The 23,007-nt window shown below is 39.2% G+C and overlaps 1 long non-coding RNA gene across 1 annotated transcript in view, besides 1 other annotated feature; it reads right to left on the reverse strand.

Moving 5' to 3' along the window:
- Positions 1-23,007, reverse strand: part of C8orf34-AS1 (C8orf34 antisense RNA 1) — a 28,024-nt gene that overhangs the window by 1,400 nt on the left and 3,617 nt on the right. The window contains exon 2 of the long non-coding RNA NR_038877.1: positions 1,651-1,731. This is a non-coding gene — a long non-coding RNA (C8orf34 antisense RNA 1). The remainder of the gene's footprint in view (positions 1-1,650; positions 1,732-23,007) is intronic.
- Positions 1,406-1,606: a silencer, noted in NCBI's record as "peak7063 fragment used in MPRA reporter construct". NCBI's record gives its function as "represses an SCP1 promoter by STARR-seq MPRAs in K562 erythroleukemia cells {active_cell/tissue: K562}" and the evidence as "EXISTENCE:reporter gene assay evidence [ECO:0000049][PMID:32103011]".

The following is a 23,007-nucleotide window of genomic DNA, read 5'->3' on the forward strand; positions in this document are numbered from 1 at the left end:
GTTGAGGAGATGTTGGTCAACAGATCCAAAGTTTCAGTTAGCAGAAGTAAGTAGAAGAGAGCTATTCTACATCACAGTGAGTAAAATTAATAAGAATGTATTGTATACTTGAAAATTGCTAAGAGAGTAGATTTTAAATGTTCTTTCACTACAAAAAATGGTAAGTATGTGTGGTAATAGATATGTTAATTCACTTGACTAGTCATTCCACAGTGTATACATATATCAAAATATCATGCTATATATCATAAATATGTACAATTTTTATTTGTCAATTTACAAAAGAAAAGGCAAAATAAATAAGGAACCTTATGACAACAAAATGCTCTCAAATAGTAAATCCCATCTCCTAAATACACATAAAATCAACAGGAGGATGGGAAGTTTAGGTTGAGACAATCTGCCCAAAAGACAAAGAGATGGAAAAATAGAAGAGTGAAGATAAGAAAATATAGCATTAGGCAAAAGGATTCAACATCATCTAAGTAGTAATCTAGACGATGAGAATTGAAAAAATGTTTCTGAGGAAATTACCAAAGAAATAACAGAAGAAAATGTCCCACAACAGGTAGGAAAGAATGTACTTTCCTAGACTGAAAGGACTATGTGTCTATTATTAGAGTGGACAGCCAGACAGACATGAGCAGGGCAGGAGAAGCCCCCCACCCCACCAGGAATGTCAGATGACCATCAGGTGCTAGTCAGGTGGTTGTTAAACTGTTTCTCTAAAATAATAATTGGTTGCTGCTGGCACCGGGGAAAGGCAGTCTCCCAATAGATAGAAAACACCTGAAGGTGGTGGTCAGCAGTTTCCCAATAAGATCTCAGGAGTTAGTTCAGTGTGCTCAAGCATGCACATTAAGAGGCATAATGGTGGAGTTTAACTGGCATATAACCTTCCTCCAGGAACACTCAGCTGATAAGGGGGAAAACACTTCAAGTGAGCATACACACAACTTCCAGTAAACATACTACTCATGGGGCCCCTCCCAAGTGCTGGCATGTACATGCAAACAGCCCACCCCAAGGAAGAATCAGGAAAGAAGAAATGCAAAACCCTACAAGCATGCCAACATATAAAAAGCCCAAGTCAAGGACTAAATGGCACACTTGAACTCTGGAGTTGCCCAGTGGGCCCTCTTCCAAGTGTACTTTACTTCCTTTCTTTCCTGCTTTAAAACTTTTAAATAAACTTTCGCTCCTGCTGTAAAAATTGCCTTCATCTCTCACTCTGACTTATGCTCTGCGGATGAATTCTTTCTTCTGACTAGGGAAGAATTGAGTTGCTGCAGACTCATATGGATTCACCACTGCTAACATACTTTGGTGCTGTGACTTGGATAAAACTGTATGGGATGGGTTTTGTGAGAGCACCAGCTATACTGAGGGAAACTTTGGAGGGAACCAGCTACTAGATGATTCAATTAGTCTTTCATCCCTATATCCAGGTTGGACAATCGATTTGCCCATCAGGACCATTGCGGACCTCCACCAGTTTCCTCTGGCTTCATCTTGCCCAGGCATAGTTCACAATCTTTCATTTCCTAACACCTGTGCTCATGCTCCACCTCCCCAGCGTGGCAGGAGATACAGACCAGTGGTAGACTGGTGGTATTCCCTCAGTAGAGTGGAGAGTCCTTGGGAACCCACCGTGGGTGATGAGTGCTCCAGTCTTCACCTTCATTGCACCATGGTCCATGGCAGTCCTGATGTGCAAATTAGGTGTCCAACCTGGGTATAGGAAAAAAGACTAATCAAACCATCTGGTAGCTGGTTCCCTCCAAAGTTTCCCTTAGGATACCTGGTGCTCTCACAAACCCATCCCATGCAGTATCCCAGTCATGGTGAACCTGACCCAATTGTCCCATAGACAGTTCTTCTTGATAAACATAGGAATTGACACTTTTGGTCTTAAAACTTAAAACTTATATTTGTTTTATCTGAGTTCCTTCCTCAGGAAACAACTTTCAGGCCTCTCAAAAAAAAAATATCAAGGAACTAAAATTCACCAGATTACCACATCCAGACAATCAGATGCCAGGACCTATCATTCAACATTATTGCTTCCTTGCCCCTCCCTAGTTCCTGTTCTCTTACATTGTTACATTTCTTCCCTTCTATATAAACCCCTAGTTTTAGTGGGTCAGGGAGATGGATTTAGACTGAGCTCCCATCTCCTCAGCTGCAGCACCTGATTAAAGCCTTCTTCCTTGTCAATAGTTGTCATCTTAGGGCTTGGCTTTCTGTGTGGCAAGTAGCAGGACCTAGACCGAACCCCTGGTGTTTTGGTAACAACAGCACCAAAGTATGTAAGCAGGGATGAATCCATATTTGTCTGCAGTAACTTGATTTTTGCCTTTTCAGAGGAAAGAATTCATATGAGAACCATAAAGCAAAGTGAGAGACCAAGGCAAGTTTTAGAGCAGGAGTGAATATTTATTAAAAAGTTTTAGAGCAGGAATGAAAGAGAGTTAAGTATACTTGGAAGAGGACCATGGAGGTGACTTGAGAGATCCAAGTGTGCCATTTAGTCCTTGACGTGGGGTTTTATATGTTGGCATGCTTCCAGGGTTTTATGTCTCTTCTCTCTGATTCTTCCCTTGGGATGGGCTGTCTGCATGTGCAGTGGCCTGCCAGCACTTGGGAGGCACCACATATGCAGTGTGTTTACTGAAGTTGTGCGCATGCTCACTTGAGGTGTTTTTCCCTTACCAGTCAAGTGTTCCTAGAGGAAGGTCATATACCAGTTAAACTCTACTACTGTGCCTCTTAGTGCGCATGCTTGAGCCCAATCACCCAACTCCTAAGATCTTAATGGGAAGCTGCTGATCACCAGCTTCAGGTGTTTTTTGTCTATTGGGAGACAGCTCTTCCTGGTGCTGGCCGCTACCACTTATTATTTTAGAGTTTAATAACCACCTGACTATAACCTGATAGTCACCTGACATTCCTGGTGAGGTGGGGGGCCCTCTCCTGTCCTGCTCATGTCTGGCTAACTACCTACTCTAACACTATCACAGTGATTGAGGAAAGATATTACCCCTACCAAGACATTTCAGAACCCAGGGACAGAGACTTTATTTGGAAAGCTTCCAGAACATGGAGTAGGGGATGGAAAGATGAAGTAGGGCAGAGTGGGGAGGGTGGGTGAGGAGGGGGTGGAAGCAAGTTGTCAACAAAAAACTGGGGATTGGAATGGTGTTACAGCACTATTGTCAAAAGATGATGGAATTATGCCTTTCAAATTCTGAATTATTTCCAATTTAGCATTGTATTATCAAATAGTCAAGTGGTGGGATTATAATAATAAAACATTTAAAAAGATGCAAAAGTCTCAAAAAAATTGATCTTTCATGCACACTTTGTCAGTAATTTACTGTGATGCTCACCTGAAGTAAACTTGTAAACCAATAAAGAAAGAAATATGAACTGTTTTCTGGGAAACAGGAAATCTGACTTTAGAGTGGAGTGAAGTGAATTCCTGAGATGATGGTGAAAGGAAATCCTAGTATAATGAAGAGGAGCTGTCCCAGGAAGCAAATTTTCCCAATTAGAGCAAGGGTATCCAAGGACTCTAGAAGGATTGTTCTAAGAAACAAAACAATCACATTTGCTTGTTGTTTATGAACAGGTTGTGGGGAGTTTTATTTAGATGAATGGGTGGGAGTTTGGGCAAAAATCAGTGGAAGGTACATAAGAAAGGAATTAAACAAGCAATAGGACTTGATTAAAGTGAAGCAACAAAAGTGTTACACAAAAAAGGCTCCTTCATTAATGAGTGTGTGGTTCAGCTATGGATTATTATATGCAAATCATAATGTCAAATTGAATATTAATAAAAAAGATCAATAACTACAGTGGGTGACTATAGGAAAGGGTACATTATAGAACTCAATCCTCATCTTCCATAGTATGAAGTCAGTAGATACTACTATTGAAAAAACTAAGAAACAATATTCTATATTATCGTTGAGGAATTTGATAATAAATACCAGAAAAAAATGAGTTGAACATCATTTCCTCTGGAGATCACAGATCAGGGTGAAGAAGGAACTAGGGGATGGCTGCTTTCATCATGTCTTATAAAGCTGTTTAACTGTTTAATGAATAAGAAAATAAAATTTAAGTGTAGTTATATTAAAGAATACCATCAAGCATGTTCTCTATTGTTGAGAAAGAACATTCATTCTTCTAGCTCAAATTGAAACTGTCTCTGCAAAATTATGATGGAAAGAGACATCTGACTCCATCTTGCTTCTAGCCTTAGAGATTGGTTCTCTTTGTCCATTTCTGCATGTGGGCAAAGCTAACTTTGTGAGAAATTTAGTTTATAGTTTAAATGATAATAGCCCTTCCCGAAACTAAACTGTTCTTATAAAACAAATGAAAGACTACCAAGTTAGGAGGATAAGAGGGGCTTAAATTCTCAATAATTACCAGCCGTTATTCTGGAGGTCATAAGATTTGCACTTTCTCCAGTTAATCCTGCGGATAACATCACTGTTATAGAACCTAAGATTGGCCTTTTGAGATATCTTTTCAGAATTTTGCAATTCTGACAACTGGACGGCCCCACCTAGACCCACCAACCAGCCCTGTGGCCCCCACCCAAGAACTGACTCAGCACAAGAGGACAGCTTCCATTCCTTTGATTTTATCTCCAACCCAACCAATCAGCATGCACCCTATCCTAGCCCCCTGCCCACCAGACTATCTTTGAAAAACCCCTAACCTCCAAGCCTTTGGGGAAATCGATTTGAGTAATAACTCCATCTCCCGTGTGGCACAGCTGGCCTTGCATCAATGAAACTCTTTTTTTTACCGCAATGCCATAGTCTCAGTGAGCTGATTTTGTGTGTGCAGTGGGGAGGAAGAACCCATTGGGCAGTTACAAAATTCATGTCATAAAATATAATAATCTTGATTTTTTTCCAACGGAAAAGTTAAGCCTACTAGTCATAAACTTGTAAGCATAAAGTTAAGTGAAGCAATGTATATTTTATAATAATTTTTTTCATGTAAGAAAACTCAGTGATATTTTCTAGATCTCTTTCTCCTCAAGGAATTGACTTGAGAGTAGTGAAAATATGAAAAGTACACAAGTAAGTATAGAATAAATTTTTATGGAGTACTGAATTTATTTAGAAGAAATGAAATGTAAATGTGCTATATTGTGTTGTGTATAGATCAAACAAAATATATCAGGGACATTAGTTGTTACAGGATTGATTTCCATAAAACTCTAGTCTGAGCAGGTCACCTTAAGCTGAAAAACATCACTCTGTCCCGCTGCCTACAAAATAAAGCTTAAACTTCTTTCCTTGATGTATGATGCTATCTGTGCTCTACCCTGAACACATATTTCCTAAATAATTTATTGCCATTCTCCCTTGCTGTACCCTTCAATAGAATCAAAGTGAGATTGCAGCAGTTCCTCATAATCAAAACTTTGTTTCTCTCCTCCAGGACTTTTCTTTTTTCCTATTATAATTTAAAAAATTCTTTTATCATAAAACATAATGTATCTTAAAATTATTTTATATTTAAAGTATTAAGTAAAATCAAATTTAAATATATTTTGTCTGTATTTGAAATTAGTCTTAAAATTATTTTAAAAATTAAAAAGAATTAAAAATCAACTGTCCATTAACTTTACATCTCTTTTTAGCCATAATCTGATCTTTTATCTTTTAGAGATACCTTCTTGAAAGTGAAGCGGCGTCACTGTCTGGGGTAAATACCCAAGGTTCACTGTCTCACACCAGGGGAATCAAGGATATGGACACACAAGAAATGGTTTTAGGAGCAGAGGTTTAATAGGCAAAAGAAAGAGAATGGAGAATAGCTCTCTCTCCTGGGAAAGAGAGGGGCGCCCAAATGAGACTTCAGTCATGGCAGAGTGCACTGGGTTTTATAGACTGGCTTGAGGAGGTGGTGTCTGATTTACACAGGGCCCAGAGATTGGTTGGACCAGGTGTGACGTTTTCTTTCTTTCTTTCTTTCCCTTCCTCCCTCCCTCCCTTTCTTCCTTCCTTCCTTCCCTTCCTTTCCTTCCTTCCTTTCTTCCCTCCCTCCGTTTTCCTTCCTTCCATTCTTCCCTCCCTCCCTCCCTCTTTCCCTTCCTTCCTTCCTTCCTTCCTTTCTTTCTTCCTTCCTTCCCTTCTTCCTTCTCTCTCTCTCCCTCCCTTCTTCTTTCCTTCCTTCCTTATTTTCCTTCCTCCTTCCCTGTCTCCTTCCCTCCTTCCTTCCTTTCTTTCTTTCTGGATTGTGGGGCATTCTATTTCTTTTGTAATAGCTCATGAAGAAGCTGGCCACCCCACCCTAATCTTTTATTATGCAAATGTGTTTTCTACCGGGCTGGCGCCATGTTGTCTTCTCCTTATTGTACACATGGTTGGCAAGGAAAAGGGAAGGTGGAGCCCCCATGTTGAACATACCTGGCCCCCAGGTTAGCTTTTTCCCATTGGCACAGCTGCCAGCATTCACCTGTGCAAGCTTCCAGCTTGCTTATCTATGTCTGCAGCTTGATTTTACAGGCTGCTGTTTGTTAGAAAAGAAATTATTTTGGGGCTGCTTTTCATTAAAAGGAAAACCTTACCGAGGACTTCTTTACCCTCACTATCTGCCTAAATAATTTCTTTCTAACTCCTATATCAAATGGACTGAAAGATGTTTATTAGGTTTAGTTAGGTTTATTAGGTTTAGTTAGGAGGTTTATTAGGTTTAGTTAGGAGGTCTGAGGCCACCTTAGCAAAAGCAGTATCATTGGAGTTCTAGAAATTTATACAGGTAACAAGAGATAAATAAGAAATTAGAGTAAACACATGCAGATATTTCCAGGCTAGCAGTCAGCACGTTTCTGTAAAGGGCCAGATTTTAGGTAGGCTCCCTCCTTCCTTCCCTCTTTCCTTCCCTCTTTCCTTCCTTCCTTCCTTCCCCCCTCCTCTTCTTCCTTCTCTCTTTCCCTCCTTCCTTGTTTCCTTCCTTCCTTCTTTCCCTTCCCCCTTCCCTGTCTCCCTCCCTCCCTTCCTTCCTTCCCTTCTTCCTTCTCTTTTTCCCTCCTTCCTTCTTTCCCTTCCTCCTTCCCTGTCTCCCTCCCTCCCTCCTTCCTTGCTTTCTTTCTTTCTGGCTTTGTGGGGAATTCTACTTCTTTCATAATTAGTCAACTCTGCCAGCATACAGTGAAAACAGCCATGCACAATACATAAATAAATAGCACAGCACAGTTGTATACCAGTAAAACACAGATTTGGCTTAAAGGATACAGTCTGCTTACCTTTTTTCCTAATGTCACCACATAAGCCTCTTCCACAAGTTGCTTAATTGCAGCATAAGCATAAGAGGCACTATCTTCTCCCAGAAGAAAAGATTAGAAAAAAGGAGATCTGGAGCACAGGTGTCATTGGAAAACACACTTGAGCCCAAGAAATAAGCCAAGTGAGCACAAAGTAATACTATAATAATGTTAAAATCACAAAATTAAAAATCTAGTCAAATTCTCTAATTCTATAATTGCTAAAACCAAGGCGCAGAGACAAATGTGACAAAGACACACCTGGGACACAGTAGGTGCTCAACACATTTTTTGATGAATTATTAACTTGCTCAAGGCTGTGTCTGTAATAAGAAGCACACCTGAGAATATAATTCAGGTTTTGAGATTCACATGTAGAGTATTATTTTCACTCTGACAGGTCAACATCACAGGGAAAGTATTTCCCACATGTATGAGCTAGCATGATTATTAACAGCATAGGCTAAGTTATGCTGTGCTTAAAAAAACAGCCCCAAATAACCTTTTTCTTTTCTATGTAATCTGCATACCTATAGGGTGTGGGTGAGGACTCCCCTCATTTTAGTCTTTCAGGGATGCAGATGAAGGAGGTTCTATCTCCGCCTGTCCATCTACAATCACTACTGCAGATAAAGAGCACAATTCAAAGATCTTGCTCCCACAATTAAGTGTTCCACCCTGGAATCGACACATAACACATCCTCCCACAAACCACTGGCCAGAACTAGTCATATGCCCATACTTGATTTAAAAGGGCCAGGATCCCAGGCCAGGTGGCTCACGCCTGTAATCCCAGCTACTAGGGAGGCTGGGGCAGGAGAATTGCTTGAACTCCGGAGGTGAAGGCAGAGGTTGCTGTGAGCCAAGATGGCGCCACTGTACTCCAGCCTGGGCAACAGAGTGAGACTCCATCTAAATAAATGAATAAATGAATAAATAATAAAAGGGCCAGGACTCACAAGGTTCTTGTGTGCCTAGAATAATAGGGAAACCAAGTATTTCTGAATCCTGAATGCTGTGTGGTAGAAATGAAACTGACTTTGCAAAAGTTACAACAGCAAGAAAACTATGGCAGTGGAGGAGATCTGATCTAGCCAACCCCCATCTTGCCTTTAGCATTCAAGCCGCCCTTGAATATTCCTGGGCGTGGGTCAAGCTAACTGTGGGAGATGTTTAGTTTATAGCTTAAGTGATAATAGCCTTTCCCCAAAATTCAGCCACCTTGTAAAGCTAGTGAGAGACCACCGGGGCTAGGAGGATTAGAGGGGCCTGAATTCTGCTAAGGTGTAGACATAAATGATTGCCAGCCATTCATTATTCAGGAGGTCACAAGATATGCAACGTCCCCAATTACTCCTGCAGATAACATCACTATTGTAGAACTTAAAATTGGCTTTTTGAGATGTCTTTTCAGGTTTTTGCACCTTTAATGACTAGTGGCTCCACTGAGACCCACCAATCAGTCCTGTGGCCTCACCCAGCAACCCACTCAGTGCAAGAGAATAGCTTCTACTCCCTATGACTTCATCCCTGACCCGACCAATCAACACTCATACCCTAGCCTGCTGCTCACCAAACTATCTTTGAAAAACCCCTAACCTCCAAGCCTTCGAAGAGATTGATTTGAGTAATACACGTGGCATGGCCAGCCTCACGTCAATTAAACTCTACCTTTATTGCAACGCCATGATCTCTGTGAAATGATTTTGTTTGTGCAGTGAGCAAGAAGAACCTTTGGGGCAGTTACAGAAAAACTATAGAAAAAGAGGTTGATAGGTCCACCGTATAAATCAAAACAGGTTTCTGTTTTGCTTGGTAAGAGTTTTCTTTTTTCTCTTCATAAAGAAATAGAGTAACACTCCCCACCCCTCTGTAAAACTATAAGCGAGGTCCAAAAGTTTAGTCAAGGAAAATGACTAACAATGTTTGCAAGAAAACATATTTTTTTCAAGGCAGAGTCTCACTGTGTTCCCCAGGCTGGAGTGCAATGGCATGATCTCAGCTCACTGCAACTTTTTCCTATGGGGCTCAAAAGAGTCTCCTGCCTCAGCCTCCTGAGTAGCTGGGATTACAGGTGTGCACCACCACACCTGGCTTTTTGTTTTGTTTTGTTTTGTTTTGGATTTTTAGTAGAGAAGGGGTTTCGCCATGTTGGTTAGGCTGGTCTCAAACTCCTGACCTCAAGTGATCTGCCACCTGGTCCTCCCAAAGTGCTGGGATTAGTGTTCAGCCACCACACCCAGCCCAGTTTGCAAACCATTTTTGCAAACAAAATTTTCTAGTCAGTTTTCCAGGTATGGTGTGAAAAAAGAAAGAAAATGATATTTGTTAAACTTGCATATTATTAGAATAATACCCATCTCTCTGTGTATGAGAAAGTCCAAAACAGTCATGAGGTAATCACTTCATCCTCCACAGCCCCAGGAAGAGAAATGAGCTTGGCCTTCCTGGTTTGAGAATGGGTGCTGGCTGAGGAGGGAGCTAATTTCTTATCATGTTATATCTAAATTCATATTATTGTGAGGCATTATCAAGTTTGCTGTATGGGCTGTGTAGTGAACCTTAATAAGTTCATTTCAGTTTAAATAAAGTATGTTGTACACCTGTGAAGTACAAAATATTAAGGTGTGTATGGCCTGAAAGGGTGGAAAGAGGATAATGACAATACATGACACAATAGCAGAATAAACAGTCATATGGATTATTTTCCAATATTTCATTATTGTGATGGGTCAGATCCCTGAGGCATGGGTTTCTCACAGCCTGGACATCCTCAAATATGGAAATTGTCTACTGTAGACAAAAAGAAAGCTTTTTGCAGTATTTTGCCCCAATTGTCTCTTTGAACCTAGAGAAGCAGCGGGGCACATGTGGCGAGCGCAGAGTTGCTGTGACTGAAGCGCGGAGCTGGGAAGAGTAAGGGAGGGAAGAGGCTCCTTGGGCAGCATTCTGCCACTGGCAACTGGACACCACTCGGTTAGGAGGAAGAACAAGTCTGTATTTTCTCTTGTCCTTCTTCCTCATATTTATTCATTTCTCCCTCTTACATTCCTAATACTCTTGCTTCCAGGCTGTATAACAGCTTGGTTTGAGCAGGGAATTCTTCCCACAATGGAAAGAATCTTCTGCAACGGACATCAGCCATTTTGCTTGTATTCAAGGACACAGAGATGCTTTTAGGTAAAAGTGATTTATCATTAGAATCATTAAACGTGAAAAGTAGTTCTATGATGTTACCAACCTTAGATCGCTGATGCTGGGGATTGAAGGAAAAATCATTATTAAAATATTCACATAATATATAATACAGGCCATACAAAAATGTATGTCTAATATTCATTATTCGATTTTATTCATGCATCAATTGATTACATAGCATACGCTGTGTGTCAGATACAATTCTAGGCATTTTTATCACTAGTAACTCATTGAGTCTTTACATCAACCCTACCGAATAGGTACTGTTGTCATCATCCTCATCTTGCATATGAAGAAACTGAGGTCCAGAGAGATGAAGTATATTGCCCAAAGTCAAACAGAGTTGGGACTCAGATCCATACAACCTGGCTGCAGAGTCCTTACCATTAATTGTTATGCCATGCTGCTGTAATGGTGACTAACGAATATTTGGGAAAAGAGTTTCATAGCTCATCGTAGCTGCTAATTTGATTCCACTTACTTCATGGTATCCAACATTTGGGGAGTGTTTAAAGAGTGGTCAGCTGCTGAAAACACTGGTAGGGATTTAAGGGCCTGGCAGTACAGATAACTTGAAGACCCTCCAGCTACCAACACCAAGAATTGCTCAATAAATTATAACTAACATCCTTATAAATACAGGGCTGAGCTGCTAAGAAAAGCAGAAAAATTGCCTTCGGCCAGAAATGAAGAAGAAACTAAAAATCAGGACAGCAAACTGCAAAGCTGATGCTGTGTCTGCTCTGGGATATTTATTGCTCTAAGTAACATAGGTGCTGAAACAATACCAGTGTACAGATGGGGAGAATTGGGACTGAGGCTCGCATCTTCTAGAGTGTTCTTTCTTTGGTATGAGGATTTGAGCAACAGGAACCCTCAAAAGTTGTGGGAAGAATGATAAATTTATACAACTGCTTTGAAGAGCAATGTGACAATGCCTGATGAATTTGAACATGCCCATCCTTATGACCAAACAATTCCTTTGGCAGATTAATACCCCCGAGAAATTCTAGGCCGTGCAAAAATTCAGACATGAACAAGAATTTTATTGCAGCATTGTTTGCATTAGTAAAAACTTGGAACAGGAGAATGGATAAATGAGTTGTGCTCTAATCACACAATGGAATATGCAGAGCAGTGAAAATCAATGTACCATAGACATGTATCATCAGGGATAATTCTCAAAGCTTCACTTTCATGGAAAAAGCAAGGCAAGCTGCAGGATATTTGCAGAACTGAGCTGTAGAGGTAAAAAGCGTGTGATATCTTTCTTCACCCCTCATAAGGGTCCCAGTCAACACTGCTATAACAAAAGACAACTTAACAGGAGAAAAGCACATACAAAAATGACTTACTTAAAGTTTTATGTGACATGGAAGCCTTTGGAATGAAGATCCAAAGGTACAAGAAAAAATATCCATTTTTATGCTTAGGTTGAATGAAGAATGAATAGCTGTATAAAAACTTCATTGGAAAAAAGGGTGTGATCCAGCAGACTGAGATGAGAAAACCCAGTAAGGCATGTCCAGATTCTTCTTGGCCTCTCAGTGGCATTCCCTCCACCTGGGTATGAAGCAAGAACCCTCTACAGTAGGAGTCTTATGACCTATTATCAGACAAGGGTAGGTCAGAGAATTCCTTTATGGCCAGCTCCTAGACAGAAAGGTAGGAGGTGAGAAGGTTAGCCTTGTATTCCTTGTAGGTTATTCCTTGTATTCATGGCTGACTTGGGCAATAGGGGTTCTAGTTTCTATGACCTGCCTTGGGGAAGAGGAATTCTGGTTTCTGTGACTTGCTTCCAGGGAGACTCAAGGATGAGAGACAGGAGGGCAGGAGAAGGTCAGAGTGACCCTGGTCCTGAGACTGCTTCTGAGGCCCTTCAGATGTCCTTTAGATCAGTAGTCCCTCTCCTTTTTGGGACCAGGGACTGGTTTTGTTGAAGACAATTTTTCCATGGACTGGGGAGGGGGTGGTTTCAGGATAATTCAAGAGCATTACACTTACTGTGCACTTTATTTCTATGATTATTACATTATAATATATAATAAAATAAGTATACAACTCACCATAATGTAGAATCAGTGGGATCCCTGAGCTTGTTTTCCTGCAACTAGATGGTCCCATCTAGGGATGGTGGGAGACAGTGACAGATCATCAGGCATTAGATTCTCATAAGAACCTTGCACCCTAGACCCTTCCACATGTGCAGTTCATAACAGGGTTTATGCTCCTATGAGAATCTAATGCCACCACTGATCTGACAGGAGGCAGAGCTCAGGCGGTAATGCGAGTGACGGGAAGTGGCTATAAATACAGATGAAGCTTTGCTTGCTTACTGCCGCTCACCTCCTCCTGTGAGGCGCGATCACCAACAGGTCATGGACTGGTGCTGGTCTGTCGCCTGGGGGTTGGGGGCCCCTGCTTTAGTTGGAAGTGCTCAGCAGGCCAAAGTGCTATACTTTGGATTATCATTTTTTGAACCCCAACAAAGCCTAATGCTGAACTGTAGAGGATCAGAAAGAAATTTTAAAAAATGTAATCCTTAACCTCAAGAAAGGAAGAAAGGACAAAACAAAAAGGACTTTTAATTACTCCTCTCAAAAATGAAAGCAACACCAGTGTTGCAGATGTAATTGGCTTCCTTTTGGCCCAGCTCCCACTCTGCACACGGGCAGACCCTCAACACAGAGCCCACGCATAGCAAGAAAGACAGAAGGAGTTCTTACTGAATATTTCCCAAGTACAGGGGGGAAGTAAACTAAGGCAAAAATTACACAAAATTGTGTTTATATATCTTGTTTAGTTCACCGAAATTCAAATCAACTCAACATAGCTCTCTTTCTCTTCACAGTGCATTTTTGCTGCTTTCTGGCCTCACCCAGTGTCTCATTTTCTAAAGCCACACAGATGCACATAGCTCCAAACTAATGCATAGTTATTAAACTCCCCTTTGCTTTTAAACTTGCATTTTTGCTCCATTTTGTGGCTCACTAAATGAAAGCTCCTTTTTGAAATCTTTTTATAATTGTGTGTGTGTGTGTGTGTGTTTCATAACAACATATTTTTTTCACAGTTTAAAAAAAAAATCTAGGATCCAAGAGGACCTTAGAATCAACAAAAATTAACAATTACTGTTAATTCTTTTTTTTTTCCTTTTCTTTTTTTTTTTGAGACAGGGTCTCACTGTGTCACCCAAGCTGAAGTGCGGTGGCACAATCATGGCTCACTGGAGCCTCAACCTCCTGGGTTCATGTGATCCTTCCATATAAGCCTCCTGAGTAGCTGGGACTGCAGGTGTGTACCACTACAACTGGCTAAATTTTTCTTTTATGTGGAGACAAAATCTTGCTATGTTGCCCAGGCTGGTCTCAAACTCCTGGGATCAAGTGATTCTCCCACCTCGGCCTCCCAAACTGCTGGGATTATAGGTATGGGCCATCATGCCCATCCTTGTTAATTCTTAAAATAACATCTTTGTTGAGATATACTTCACATACCAGACAAGTCACCTATTTAAAGTGTACAATTGAATAGCTTTTAGTATATTCACAGAGTTGTGCAACCTTCAGCAAAATAAATTTTAGAACATTTTCATCACACCAAAAAGAAACTGTAAGCCCATTAGTGGTCATTTCCATTCCTCCCCCTGTTACTGTCCTGCCCTCACACCTGTCACCCTGCAACACTTTCCTGCCTTCCTACCAGCCCTAGGCAACCACTAATCTACTTTCTGTCTCTGCAGACTTGCCTACTGTGGTTATTTTATATCAATGGAATCATACAATACATGGTGTTTTTGTGACTGGTTTCTTTGACTTGGTATAATGTTTTCAAGGTTCATCCATGGTGTAGCATGTATTGGTACTACATTCATTTGAATCACAAAATAATATTTCATTATATGGACATACCACATTTTATATAGCCTTTTATCAAGTGATAGATATTTGGGTATTTGGATTGTTTTCACTTTTTGGCTGTTATGAATATTGCTGCTACCAACACTCATGGATAAGTTTTCATGTGGTCACGCATTTTCATTTTTCTTGGGTATAAACCTAGGGGTGGAATTGCTGGATCACTCAGTCAGTCGACATTTAACCTTTTGAGAAACTACCAGACTTTTTCAAAGCAGTTCCACCAGCAGTTTATGAGAGTTCCAGTTTTTGGACACTTTGCCAGTGCTGTCTTTTTTATTATGTAGCGCTGTCCTAGTGAGTGTGAAGTGGTATAACATTGTGGTTTTGATCTGCATTTCCCTAATGGATAATGGTGTTAGGCATGCATTTCTGTGTTTATTGGCCATGTGTATATCTTCTTTGGAGAAGTAACTATTCAGCCACGTTGACTTTTTTAATTGGGCCATTTGTCATTTTTATTATTGAGTGATAAGAATTATTTATATATTGGAGAAACAAGTTCCTTATCAGATACATGATTTGAAAATATTTTCTCCCATTTTTTGATTTTCTTTTCACTTTCTTGATGGTGTTCTTTGCATAAAAAGGTGTTTATTTTGATGATATCCAATTTATGTTTTTGTCATTTGTTCTTTTGGTATTATATCTAAGAAAACATTATTTAACCCAATGTCACCATGATGTATGCCTCTTTTTTCCTATAAAAGAGTTATAGCTTTAGCTCTTAGATTTAAGTCTTTGATCCATTTTGAGTTAATTTTTGTATCTAATGTGAGGTACAGGTTCAATTTCATTCTTTTACATGTAGATATCCAGTTGTCTGAGCACAATTTGATGAAAATATTATTCTTTCTCTATTGAATTGTCTTGATACTCATATCTAAAATCATTTGACCACACATGTGAGACTTTATTTCTAGACTCTCAATTCTATTCCATCGATATATATGTCTGTCTCTATGCCAGTACCACACTGCTTTAATTGCTGTAGAACTTGGTAGTAAGTTTTGAAATTGGAAGTGTGAGTCTTCCAATTTTGTTCAAGATTGTTTTGGTTATTCTGGGTCTTTGCATTTCCATATGATTTCAGGATTAGCTTGCCAATTTCTGCAAAAAAAAATCCAGTTGGAATTTTTAAGAGAATTGTATTAAATATGTAGATCAACTTGGGGAGCGTTGCCATCTTAACAATAGTAAGTCTTCCAATTCATGAACACATAATATCTTTCATTTTATCTTTTTCTTGAGACAGAGTCTTGCTCTGTCACCCAGGCTGGAGTGCAGTGGCACAATCTCGGCTCACTGCAGCCTCTGCCTCCCCGTTTAAGTGATTGCCTTGCCCCAGCCTCCCAATTAGCTGGGACTACAGGCATCTGCCACCACACAGGGCTACATTTTATCTTTCATTTAGATCTTCTTTCATTTATTTCACCAATGTTTTGTAGTTTTCGGAGAATAAGTTTTATACTACTTTTTTTTTTTTTTTTTTTTTGAGACAAGATGTTACTCTGTTGCCCAGGCTGGAGTGCGGTGACACAAACATGGCTCACTGCAGCCTTGACCTTGCAGGCTCAGACGATACTCCCACCTCAGCACTGTGCCCTGTCCCCTTCACCCTTCCTCATCTCCCACCACCCCACCCCTGCTCCCAGGTAGCTAGGACTCCAGGCATGCCCTACCACACCTGGCTAATTTTTTGTATTTTTTGTAGACACAAGGTTTTGCCATATTGTCTGGTCTGGTCTTGAACTCCTGATCTCAAGCAATCCTCCTGCCTTGGCCTCCCAAATTGCTGGGATTACAGTCATAAACCACCGCATCCGGTCCATGCTACTTTTGTTAAATATATTTCTAAGTTTTTCACTTGTTTTTGATGCTGTTGTAAATAGAATCATTTTGTTAATTTCATGGGATATTTTTGTTCATTGAAGATGTATAGAGATATGGTTGCTTTTTGCATGTTATCTTGTAGCCTGCAACTTTTCTAAACTCCTTTATTGGTTCCAATAGTTTTTTTTTTTTTGATGGATTTTTTAGGATTATATATACACAAGATCATGTCATTTGCAAATAGAGATAGTTTAACTTCTTCCTTTGCAATCAGGATGATTTTTATTTCCTTTTCTTTCCTAATTGCCCTGGCTAGAACCTCTAATACAATGTTGAATAGAAGTGGTAAGATGTCATTTTAAGCCTGTGTTTCTCCCAGATTATTTTCTTGCTTATGATTTGCTGTAAGGTAGTAAAATAAAAGAGCTGTTTCTTCTTTTCTTAGGAGCAGTAAAAGAAGAATGAGTGTGGCAAACCACACACTGCTCTACAGCCGCTGTCTGAGAAAAGTTAAAAGGGAGAAAGAGTAAATGGTCACCATGAGCAACAGGAAAGCAAGGAAAGCAAACTGGGGCTCTGGCTCCTCTTTCAGAAACCAACAGGAGTGCAGAGACTGGTTGAGCCTGAAGTATGGTCTTGAGAATTAACAATATGAAAGTTTGTGTCAGTTCCTTTTTAAAGTGTAAAGCTGATTCTTTCTAGAATATGCACCAACTTATACAGGATTACCACACAACCAAGGGTGTTTAGATCACAGAAGTTTGGGCTGGAGAAAAAACATCATTAAAAACCCTCAAACTTTTGTTGGTTGTTTTTATGTAATCCACGGACATCAAAAATCAAATTCATCAATATTGGGTATTAAATGATCTTAATTATAAGAATATATTTCTTTAAACCAGGCTTAGGAAGTTTGTGATATGTTAATGTCTTTTTCTTGAGTTTGGAAATAAATATGTATCATCACTTTTAAATGTATTATCATGTCAACAATTACTTTCAAACTAGTTTTTTTTTCTGTTTTTCTTCTCCTTTTTTTGATATTGGCATTTGAAGGCCATCAGCTTATTAAATAATAACCTTTTATTCAACTGGTCATTTAAATCTCCAGTTTTTCTTGAGTGGCAGAATGGTGAAATGGAAGCTATTTTAGACTAGAGATAAGACAAATGAGAGAGTCAGACCAATGTTTTTGTGGCCAGACTTTGCTTCCCTTTAAATTGGGGGAAAGGAAGAGGAGGAAATATGAATAACTTCTGAAATATCTTCCAATGTAGTCAACAATGACATAGGTAATATTTACTGAGCATTTACTCCTCGGTAGGCATCGAGCTACGTGTTGACATATTCTCAAGCAAACCTCACAACAACTCCTTGGTATAGGCCTATTAGTATTGTTTAATTTTCTGTCAGAGAGAAATGAAGCTTAGAGAGGAACTTGCCAAAATTCAAAGCTGGTATGTACTAGAACCAGGATTCAAATCCATGGAAGTCTATTCTGTGTTCTTTTGTGTAATGTTTACTCATCAGTGGACCCTACTTTATATGGGTAGGCTCTAGTAGCCTAGCATCTGAACCTGGGATGATCGAGGCAGAGGAATATTGTCTCCTGGAGTGTGCCGGTCAGATAGACGAGATGTGACCCTGGACTGGTTATTTTTTACATCAAAGACGATGCTTCCTGAGCTGTTTGTTGTCTCTAAGAATTGACTAGGCCGAGCGTGGTGGCTCACGCCTGTAATCCCAGCACTTTGGGAGGCCGAGGCGGGCGGATCACGAGGTCAGGAGATTGAGACCATCCTGGCTAACCTGGTGAGACCCTGTCTCTACTGAAAATACAAAAAATTAGCCCAGCGTGGTGGCGGGCGCCTGTTGTCCCGGCTACTCGGGAGGTTGAGACAGGAGAATGGCGTGAACCTGGGAGGAAGAGGTTGCAGTAAGCCGAGATCGCGCCACTGCACTCCAGCCTGGGCGACAGAGCAAGACTCCGTCTCAAAAAAAAAAAAAAATTGACTAGCTCTGGAAGGGGCAGTCTCCATAGCCAGAAAGGTTTTAAGATGTTAAAACATTATATTCCAGAGTCTATAAGTTTTAAGTATTCTCCAATATCACTTCTTGTATTCTAAAAAAATTGTCAGTGAGAAATTAGTAACAAAAAATATATTACAATGTGCAAACACCTTTTCATGTTGTTGAAATGTATGAGATTGATCAGTTGCTTTACAAGTCCATTAAACAACATTATTAACTATGCTTCTAGATGCAAATAGCTTTGAATGTAAAAACATTACAACAATAATATAAAGAAATTGAAGTGTTACTGGATCCTGACAAAAAGTCTCTCCTTGACTATACTTTAGTCAGGCTCCTCTTAATACTCTTCTCAACTATATATCAACTTTTGGGCTGCTTTGTCCACCTTTGCATCGCCCAGTTTTAACAAAAATTCTGCTAAATTGGTTTAGCCACAATCCCCCGCTTATCCCTAATGTTTCCTCTTAATAATTTTTCATCCAATGACTTCTACTCTTTATTTTGGCTATGAAGTCTCACTTTTTCTTGTTGTGTTTTGAGTTGAGCCCAATCTCTGTCCCTTACTGCAAAACCCCATAGCAGTAGTCCCCATACTTATTGCAATAGTCCTGAATAAAATCTACTTTACATTTTAACAAGCGTCATGAATAATGTTTTAAACAGTATTCAAAACAGTAGCAATTGAAATTGGCCCTGTGTAATAAGATAACATATATTTTGGAATCAGACTGATTTGTATTTGAATTTTGGCTTTTCCATCAACTAGTTTGATATGTTATCGAATGCTATTGACCTCAGTTTTCTCATCTGTAAAATGCAGAATGAACTGTAGGCAGTCATGGGTCACACACTTGTCAGCAAGTAACTGACCCGTATTTCAATCTCAAGTTTCACACCAAAGCCATTTCAGCTGTCTTAGAGAAAATTACACTCCAAGCGAGATTAAAAATGTCAAAGGGCACCTAAATATCAGCACAAGTTCTGAACAAATGTAAAGAAAGATAATTTGTTGTGGGGAGCAGAGAGAACACACTTTAGAAAACTTTTCTCATATATTTCATTCCATGGGATGCCATTCTATTGCTGCCTAATTTTAATTTATCATTGGAGGGAGACTTTTGAAATTAAATATCAATGAAATGTATAAGATTTACCATATTACCTTGTCCTGTTTGAATCCTGAAATATCCTTACTGTCATTGTTTTATTAAAGACACATGTTTAATGTGATGTCATTTTATGAAAGCTAATGATTGAAAAGGAGAAAAAATGATTTTCTTTTGATAATACTTTTGGCAAATCACATCATATGAGTTAATATATGTTGAGAGTGGAAAATACCCATCCTAAGGTATATAAAATCTTGGGTTTGGTGACAATGATTTGATATAAAAATATGCCTAGGAATATGAAGGGTCAAGGGTAAGCTATTACAGACAAAAGAATGTTAGAATATGTTTTAGAAACTGAATGTCGCAGAAAACATTTTTCAACTTCAGTAGGAACCTTAGTTTGTCTTTAGACATCACAATTGTGCACAAATGTTTCAGGCTTAGGCTGCAAGGTAAGTGAAACTTCCTTTAAAAAAGACAGGAAGGAAGTAATAAAGGAAGAGAAGGAAAGAGAAAAGTGACAAATTGAAGAGGAGAGGCTCAGAGAAAGACATAAAGACAAATCAATGCTGTTATCTTACTGAAACATTTACTATATTTAAGTACTTCAAAAATACTTAGGTTTTTTTAAACAAAATTAATTATACTTCATTATGCATATATAAAAGGAACTTAAGTATAAATGACTGAGAACTTGACTATGCCTCTGAGTTACCTAATAAGTTACCAGCATTTTACTCATTCATTCTTTCTTTGTTTATTCTTCTATCTCTCCACTCATTCATCATTCATTCATTGAATATTTGGTTTCCTAATCCTCCCAGACAAAGCTAGTAAGTTTAGTTCCCGGTCTTTATGACCCCATCATAAATCTTTTGTGGCAGATATATGATAAGTAAGTGTATTTCCCTGACCTTTGTGGAAACTTAGCGTATCCTTAGACATCAGTAAATTATCTCTCTCCCAGGACTGAGACCATCTGAGGGTTGAGGGGTGGGTCTTATCCATAGGTAATGGGCTAACGACATCTGCTTTGGAAGAAGAGCTTTGCTGACTACTTTGAGTATTATAGTTTCCAGGGTGTTTTTGCAGAAAGCTAAGTCATCCTTCTATTTTATTTTATTTTTAAAATTTAAATTTCCTCTAGGTAATGGTGGTTCCACTAATTCTGCTAAAAGTACCTTTAACCCTTAGTGCAGAGGTTGTTGTAATGTGCTTCCTTATGAACAAGCATTAGCTGACATTTACAGATATCCGAGTTTGAGAAATAGGTCCCATGTTGCTTATTCCTTGATAGTGAGACTAGAGCAATAGTATATCCTGTCCTAGGCAGAGTGTCGGGCTCCCCAGGGTGCACACCGAGTAGAATTGTTTTGCCTTATGACATCGTCTTTTGTTTGCTTAGTTGCTCTTATTTCCTCCTCCTTTCCAATAAATTCAGTATCATGTTACAGTATCCTATAACAGTTTTCATGGCTCAAGGTTTTGTTTTTTCCTTCCAACAAAGACTCTTGAAAAATCAAGACAATACGCTCTCGGAAATTATAAGCAAAAAGCATATCAGGTTTAACAGACTATGGGCAATTAACATCAAGGGTATCTACATAGTCTGATATCTATAGATTTCCTTTAAATGATTCATAACAACAAAAATTAACATGTTATAAAATGCATTTACATAAAGTCTTTTAGATGGAGATTGCTTATATACAGTCCACATATTAAAAAATTAAAAAATAAATATTAAAACCTAATGAGTAAAGGCAGAAATTAAAGAGATAGAAATGTAATTTCAGAAGGCTGAATGGCAGGATTTCACAAGCTGGCACCATCATTTGAGTTGTCAATTTAGTAGATCCAGTAAGTTGATATTTTCCACACAGTTAGAACCAGGGCAAGGCTCAGAGCCTCATGCCTGTAATCCTAGCACTTTGGGAGGCCTAGGCAGGACAATCAGTTGAGGCCAGGGGTTCGAGACCAGCCTGGGCAATATGGTGAAATCCTGTATCTACAAAAAATACAAAAATTAGCTGGGTTTGGTGATATGCACCTATAGTCCCAGCTACTCAGGAGGCTGAGGTGGGAGGATTGCAAGAGCCTGGGATGTCGAGGCTGCAGTGAACTATAATCGTGCCACTGCACTCCAGCCTGGGGGACAGAGTGAGACCCTATCTCAAAAAAGAAAAAAAAAATCAGTTCCAACGTGGTTGATTAGCTATTATTCAAACTCACAAGAGACAACATATTCATTTAGTATGGAGCCAGAAAGTTACCCCGTTATCTGCTACCCATACTACTTCCCTTCCCATACCCACACACTGGGGAAGTCAAACTAGTCATCAAAACACAGCTTGGTCAGAACTAATCCAAAGCAAAGGGAATCAGACTGATTTGTACTTGAATTGGTACTCTTGCAACCTTGACAGTGGGGGTTTAATACATCACTGGGGTTCAAGATACTCTGCTACTTACTAGCTATGACCTTGGGCAAGTTACTTACCTGGTAAGTGTCTCAGTTTCCTCATCTAAAAAAATGGGAATAATAGTAGTACCTACTTCATGATGTTGTTTTGAGAATTAAATGAGTTGAGGGAGTGTATAAAGTGCTGTTATCAATACCTAGTACATAGTAAATGCTGTATGTGAGCTCATTTGCATTAGTTGTGGGAGGCATTTCGGGCAAAAATGAAGAAAACTCTCTATGTGCACCTCCCTTTTATGGCCAGATTATTCATATGTGCTGGGTTCCTTGGAAAGATATTTTTCCCTTTTTGTTACAAAGTGGCAAGGTGAAACCAAAACAGAAAGAGGATAAGTATGCTTCAGGGATAGAAGTCTAAATTCAAGAAATCCATATAGAACATCTCTGCTCTCTGACTTCAACATTTAATTAATTTCAATGGATTACATTGCTAATACTTCCTAATTGGGTCAACTGGACTTCACCACTGTTCCCTCATCTCTCCGAAACCTATTTGTGTAAGGAACTGTGCAAGGTGTCTTACAAATGGAGTTGGACAATGGCTTTAGTGAATTCTATAAATTGGATTCTGTACATCTGTAAATTATGCTGACAGGCACTTCTATAACACAATGAGGTCAAAACAGTCTCACCGAAAATGGTCTTTTCATGCTGTATCCAACCCAAAAACGGCGAAAGGATCCTAAAGGTACCATGGCATATGTGCAGAAAAAGTTGATAAATTCAATCCAAGACAATGGTTACCTTTCAGCCAATTTTAAAGGGACTACCTAATACAAATCTTAAAACTTATAGTAATAGTACCTTAATTAAAGATATTTTATGAAGAACCTACTATGCGAAAATATACTGTGTTACACACTGTAAAGTAAAAGAAAATTATTAAGATACAGTTCATGATTTTAGAGAGTTTGCAGTTTAAAAGAGAGACCAAAATATGCATGCAATTGACTAAAGGAAACAAAACAGAGTATAAATGCCATGAGTCAGAGGCAAAGTTTAGACTGAAAGAACATAGCTGGACTGAATTGATATTCTAAAATTCAATTCATTCATTTAATTGCTATTTCTGGAGTATCTACTATGTGCCAAGTCATGAGACATAGCTGTTCCCACAAAGGGGTGCTAATATCTATA

Source organism: Homo sapiens, chromosome 8 (assembly GCF_000001405.40).
Source record: "Homo sapiens chromosome 8, GRCh38.p14 Primary Assembly".
NCBI classification, from domain to species: domain Eukaryota; kingdom Metazoa; phylum Chordata; class Mammalia; order Primates; family Hominidae; genus Homo; species Homo sapiens.